The 7,408-nt window shown below is 37.4% G+C and overlaps 1 annotated feature.

Annotated features, from left to right (window-relative positions):
- Positions 459–1,024: an enhancer, noted in NCBI's record as "NANOG hESC enhancer chr6:63614387-63614952 (GRCh37/hg19 assembly coordinates)". NCBI's record gives its function as "activates a minimal SCP1, AML or CMV promoter by ChIP-STARR-seq in primed H9 embryonic stem cells {active_cell/tissue: H9 hESC(primed)}" and the evidence as "EXISTENCE:reporter gene assay evidence [ECO:0000049][PMID:30033119]".

Raw genomic sequence — 7,408 nt, forward strand, 5'->3', positions numbered from 1 at the left:
AGATCTACAATGCATGGGAAATAACTGTTTTGAGGAAGGGGTCAGATTTATTTCAACATGTATATCCAACTTACCAGTCACAAGATATTAAAAGGAAGGTCCTTTCTCAATTTCTCTTCAGTTACACTTTTTAAATAAACCAACTATCTATATTATTATGGGTAAGTTCATGGACTCCATCCAATTTTGCATGTCTCTATTTTCATGAAAAGTATTTGCCTGTATTTCCTTTAGTAGTTTTCCGTAGGTTTTGTTATCAAGATTTCTATGGAGAGGCTGGAGCAAGATGACAAAATAGAATCCTATACTATTCATACCTCCCTACAGGAACATCAAATTTTAACAACTATCTGCACACAGAAAAACACCATCACAAAAACCAAAAATCAGGTGAACAAGTACAGTACATGCTTTTTACCTCATTTTATTGAAAGAGGTATTGAGGAGGGTTAGAGAGTCGTCTTGAATCTCTTATGCCACCCCTCCTACATTATTCACTGGCAGTGTCCCTGCAGAGCAAAGAGTCTACGCATTTGGGGGAGAAAGAACAAAGTGACTAGAGGATATTACATTGAACTCAGTGTTGCCCTGTCATAGCAGAGAGTAAAGCCATGCTGGGCTCAACCAGTGCTCCTGCACAAAGGGAGCATTTGGACCAGACCTAGCCAGAGGGGAATTACCCTTCCCATCATCTAAAATTTAAGTTTCTTAGAAAGTCTCCCCACCATGGGGCAAAGTGCTCTGAGGTTGGGGTTCTATGTAAACTTGAAAGGCAGTTTAGGATACAAAGACTGCAATTCCTAAGCAATTCCTAGTGCTGGGCTTGGCTCAGAGCCAAAGGACTACGTTAGCATGTGACTAGGGAGACACTAGCTGGCGCAGCTAAAGAAGGGCTTGAGCCATCCCTCCCACAATCCCAGGCAGTGCGGCTAGCAGCAATGAAAGTGTCTCCTTTCTTCTCTTAAGGGACTGAGAACAAAGAGTAAAGGCGACTTTGTCTTGCATCTTGGATACCTGCTCAGCGACAGTAGGGTAGGGCACTGAGCAGAGTCACAAGGCCCCCATTCTAGGTCCTGGCTCCCAGATGACATTTCTAGACCCACCCTGGGCCAAAAGGGAACTGCTGCCTTAAAGAAAAGACCCAGTCCTGGCAAGATTCATCACCTGTTGACTAAAGAGCGCTTGGGACCCTAATAACCAGCGGTGATGCCCAAGTAGTATGTGATGGGCCTGGGGCTCTGAGACATGTTGACTGCAGTCATAACCCAGCACATTCCCTGCTATGTTGGTTGTGGTGAAAGACTTACTTGAGAAAGCAGAGGGAAAAGTAAAGGGGACTTTGTCTTACACCTTAGGTACCAGCTCAGCTACAGTGGAGTAGAGCAAAAAGTAGGCTCTTGAGGTCCCCACATTGAGGCCTAGGCTCTTGGACAACATTTCTGGACCTGCCCCGGGCCACAGGGGAGACCATTGCCCTGAAGAAGGAGTCCCAGGCCAGGCAGGATTCACCACAAGCTAACTGAAGAGCCCTTGAGCTTTAAGTGAACATTGGCGATGGACTGGCAGAAACGCCCTGTGGGCTGGTGGTGGTGGTGCCCACAAGGAGAGGCTCCTCTGCCTATAGAAAAGGGAAGGAAGAAGAGGAAGGATTTACTTTTGTAGTTTGAGTGCCAGATTGGCTGCAATAGAATAGAACATTAGGCAAATTTCTAAGGTTTTTGACTCTAAACCCTGGCTCCCAGATAGCATCTCTGGACTTACCCAAGGCCTAGGGGAGCTTGCTGCCCTGAAGGGAAGGAGACAAACCTGGCTGGTTTTACCACCTGCTAATTGTAGAACCCTAGGGCCATGAGTGAACATAGGTGATGGGCAAGTAGCAGTTACAGCAGACTTTGAGCAAGACCCAGTGCTGTGCTGGCTTCTAAAAAGATCCAGCACAGTCTTAGTGGTGGTGGTCGCAGGAGTGCCAGCATCACCACATCCCCAGTTCCAGGCAGCTTGACACAGAGAGAGAGAGAGACTCCATTTGCTTGGGAGAAAGTAAGGGAAAAAAACAAAGGTCTCTGCTTGGTGATCCAGAGAATTCTTCCAGATCATATCTAAGACCACTAAGGCGGTATCACTAAAACTCTGCAAAAAACCACAGTAATATTGAGCTTGGGACACAAGTCCCTTTGAACAAATGGCCTTCTCAAGAAGGACAGGCACAAACAAGCCCAGATGATGAAAACTACAATAAATACATAACTCTTCAATGCCCGGACACTGACAAACATCTATAGATATCAAGATCATCCAGGAAAACATGACCTAACAAAGGAACTAAATAAGACACTGACCAGCCTGATCAACAGGATGTAACCCTGTCTCTACCAGAAAAATACAAAAATTAGCCAGTCGTGGTGGCACGTGCCTGTAATCCCAGCTACTCAGGAGGCTGAGGAAAGAGAATCGCTTAAACCCAGGAGAGGGAAGTTGCAGTGAGCCAAGATCGCACCATCACACTCCAGCCTGGGCGACAGAGTGAGACTCGATCACAAAAAAAAAAAAAAAAAAAAAAAAAAATGGCACTACATAAGGCACCAGGGACCACCTTTGGGGAACAGAGAAATGTGACCTTTCAGACATAGAATTCAAAATAGCTGTTTTGAAGCAACTCAAAGAAATTCAAGGTAACACAGGGAAGAAATTCAGATTTCTACTAAACAAATTTAACAAAGACACCGAAATAATTAAAAAGAATCAGGCAGAAATTCTAGAGTTGAATAATACAATTGACATACAGAAGAATGCATCAATCAGTAGCAAAACTGAGCAGAATAAAGAATTAGTGAGGTTGAAGACAGGCTATTTGAAAATATGCAATAAGAGTAAACAAAAGAAAAAAAGAATAAAAAACAATGAAGCATTCCTACAAGATCTAGAAAAGAGATTCAAAAGGGCAAATCTAGGAGATATTGGCTTTAAAGAGGAGGAAGAGAAAGAAATAAGGGTAGAAAGTTTATTCAAAGAGATAATAACAGAGAATTTCCCAAACTTTGAGAAAGGTATCAACATTCAAGTACAAGGTTATAGAACACCAAAAGGATTTAACCCAAAGAAGACTACCACACAGCATTTACTAATCAAATTCCCAAAGCTCAAATATAAAGAAAGGATCCTAAAAGCAACAGGAGGAAAGATACAAATAAGATACAGTGGAGTTCCAATGTGTCTGACAGCAGAATTTTCAATGGAAACCTTACAGTCCAGGAGGTGGCATGACATAAAGTGCAGAAGAAAAAAACTTTTCACCCTGGAATAATATATTCAGTGAAAATATCCTTCAAGTTAAAGGAGAAATAAACACCTTCCCAGATGAACAAAAACTGAGGGATTTCATCAACACCAGACCTTTCCTAAAAGAAATGCTGAACGGAGTTCATCAATCTGAAAAAAAAGATGTTAATAAGCAATAAGAGATTACCTGAAAGTGCAAAACTTGCTGGTAATAGTGAGCACACAGAAAAATAGAATAATTCAATGCTGTAATTGTGTGTGTAAACTACCCATAAGTAGAAAGACTAACTAATGAAAAAATAAAAATAACTACAACTTTCTAAGACATGGAGAGTACACTAAAACATAAAGAAAAAAACAAAAAGTTAAAAGGCATGAAATTAAAATGTAGAGTTTTTATTGGTTTTCTTTTTGCATGTTTATGCAATCAGTGTTAAATTGTCATAATTTAAAATAGTAGGTTATAAGATAATATTTGCAAGCCTCATGGTAACCTCAAAATGAAAAATATACAATGGATATACAAAAAATTAAAAGCAAGAAATTATATCATACCACCAGGGGAAGTAGCCTTCACTAAAAGGAAGACAGAAAAGAAGAAAGAGAAGACAACAAAATAACAAGAAAACAAGTAACAAAATGGCAAGTTTAAGTATCTACTTATCAATAATAATGTTGAATATCAATGGACTAAACTCTCCAATCAAAAGAAATGAGTAGACAAATGGATTCCTTAAAAATACCCTGTAATCTGTTGCCTACAAGATATACTCTTCACCTATAAAGCCACACATAGACAAAAGATAAAGGGATGGATAAAGATATTCCAAGTTAATGGAAACCAAAAAAGAGCAGGAATAGCTATTCTTATATTAGACAAAATAGATTTCAAGACAAAGGGCTCAATTCAGCAAGAGGAAATAACAGTTTTAAATACATGTGCACCCAACACAGGAGCATCAAGATATACAAAGCAAATATTATTAGAGCTAAAGTGAGAGTTAGGTCCCAATATAATAATAGCTGGAGACTTCAACACCCCACTTTCAGCATTAACTCAGACAGAAAATGAACAAAGAGACATCAGACTTAATCTGCACTGTAGGATGAATGGGACTAACAAATATTTACAGAACATTTCATTCAAAGGCTGCAGAATACACATTCTTTTCCTCTGCACATGGATCATGCTCAAAAACAGACCATATGTTAGTGAGATGGTTAATATTAAGTTTCAACTTAATTTGATTGAAGGATGTAAAGTATTGTTTCTGGGTATATCTGGGTGTTTCTGCGTGTTGTCAGAAGAAATTAACATTTAAGTCAGTGGGCTGGAAGAGAAAGACCCACCCTCAGAAAGACCCACCCACAATATGGGTGGGCACCATCCAATCAGCTGCAAGCCGATCTAGAAATAGCAGACAGAAGAAGGTGGAAGAAGCTGACTTGCTGAGTTTTCCGGTCTTCATCTTTCTCCAGTGCTGGGTGCTTTCTGCCCTCGAACATCATACTCCACGGTCCTTGACTTTTGGACTCTTGGACTTACACTAGTGGTTTGCCAAAGGCTCTCAGGCCTTTGGCCACAGACTGAAGACTGCATTGCTGGCTTTTTCTAATTTTGAGTTCAGGGACTCAGACTGAGCCACTACTGGCTTCCTTGCCCCCCAGCTTGCGGATGGCCTATCATGAGACTTCACCTTGTGATCATGTAGGTTAATTCTTCTTAACAAATTCCCTTTTATATATACACATACCCTATTATTTTGGTCCCTCTAGATAACCCTGACTAACACAGTTAGATATAAAACAAGTCTGAAAGCATGCAGAAAATTAAAATAGTGTCAAGGATCTTCTCTGATCACATTAGAATAAAACTAGAAATCAATAACAAGAGGAATTTTGAAAACTATACAAGCACATGGAAATTAAACAATATACTCCTGAATGACCAGTGAGTCAATGAAGAAATTAAGAAGGAAATTTAAAAATTTCTTGAGACAAATGATAATGAAAACACAATATACGAAATCCAATAGGATACAGCGAAAGCAGTACTAAAGAGAGGGACATTTATGGCTATAAGTGCCTGCATCAAAAAAGAAGAAAAACTTTAAACAATCTTGTGATGTATCTTAAAGAACTAGAAAAGCAAAAGCAAATCAAACCTAAAATTAATAGAATAAAAGAAATAATAAAGATTAGAGCAGAAATAAATCAAATAGAAATGGGAAAAAATACAAAATACATAAATACAAAAGATCAATTAAACAAGAAGTTGTTTTTTGTAAAAGTTAAGCAAAATTGACAAACTTTATGTTAGATTAACTAAGAAATAAAGAGAGAAGATCCAAATAAATAAAATCAGAGATCAAAAAGGAGACTTTACAACTGATACCCCCCCTCCCAAATTCAAAGGATTCTTAGTGGCTTCTATGAGCAAATATACGCTAATAAATTGGAAAACTCTAGAAGAAATAGACAAATTCCTAGACACATATAACCTACCAAGATTGAACCAGGAAGACATCTAAAACCTAACGGCCTAGTAACAAGTAAGGAGATTGAACTCACAATAAAAAGCCTCCAAGTAAAGAAAAGCCTGGAACCCAATGGCTTCACTCTTGAATTTTACCAAACATTTAAATAAGAGATAATAGCAATCCTGCTCATATTTTTACAAAAAGTGGAGGAGGAAGAGACTTTCACACTCATTAAACAGGGCTAGTATTAACCTGATATCAAAACCAGAGAAAATAAACTCAAAATAAGAAAACTGTAGGCCAACATCTTTCAGAAATATTAATTTAAAAAATCCTCAACGAAATACTAGCAGATCAAATTCAAATATCCATTAAAAAGATAATTCATCATGACCAAGTAGGATGTATCCCTGGGATGTGAAGATTGTTCAGTATACACAAATCAATAAATATAATATATCATATCTACAGAATGAAAACAAAGCCATATAATCATTTCAATTGATGCTGTAAAACAATTCAGTAAAATTTACCATCTCTTTGTAATAAAAAAACATCAAAAAAATGGGTATAGTAGAAATATATCTCAACATAATAAAAGGCATAAATAACAGACCTACAGCTAATATCATACTGAATGGGGAAAATGTGAAATCTTTTCTGTAAGATCTGGAACACTACAAGGATGCCCAATTTCACCACTGTTATTCAACATAGTACTGGAAGTCCTAGCTGGAACAATCAGACAAGAGAAAAAAATAAAGGACATTCACATTGGAAAGGAAGAAGTCAAATTACCTTTTTGCAGATGATATGATCTTGTATTTGGAAAAACCTAGACTTCACCAAAAAAAGCTTAGAACTGATACACAAATTCAGTAAAGTTGTACGATATAAAATCAACAAACAAAATTAGTAGCATTTCTATATGCCAACAGTGAACAATCTGAAACAGAAATTTAAAAAGTAATTCCATTTATAAAAGCCACAAATAAAATTAAATACCTACGAATTAACTTAACCAAAGAAATGATAGATCTCTATAATGAAAACTATAAAACACTGTTGAAAGAAATTGGAAAGAACAAATGTTCATGGAGTGAAAGAATCAATGTTGTTAAAATGCCCATACTACCCAAAGAAATTTATAGTTTCAATTCAATCCATATCAAAATACTAATGACATTCTTCACAGAAATTTTTTTAAAAATCCTAAAATTTATGTGGAACCATGAAAGACCCAGAATAGCCAACGTCACCCTGAGCAAAAGGAGTAAAACTGGAGGAATCACATTACCTGGCTTCAAATTATGCTACAGAGCTATAGTCTGTACTATAGTCTGCAAATGAGCATGGTACCGGCATAAGAACAAATACAAAAACCAAGGAAAGAGGATACAGAATACAGAAACAAATCCATCAACCTATAGTGAACTCATTTTTTATATAGGTGCCAATGACATGCATTGGAGAAAAGACAGTCTCCACAACAAATGGTGTTGGGAGAACTGAACATCCATATGCAGAAGAATGAAACTCAATTTCTGTCTCTCACCATATACAAAATTCAAGTCAAAATGATTTAAAGAATTAAATCTAAGACATAAACTATAAAACTGCTACAAGAAAACATTAGGGAAACTCTCTAG

This window comes from Homo sapiens, chromosome 6, assembly GCF_000001405.40.
Source record: "Homo sapiens chromosome 6, GRCh38.p14 Primary Assembly".
NCBI lineage: Eukaryota > Metazoa > Chordata > Mammalia > Primates > Hominidae > Homo > Homo sapiens.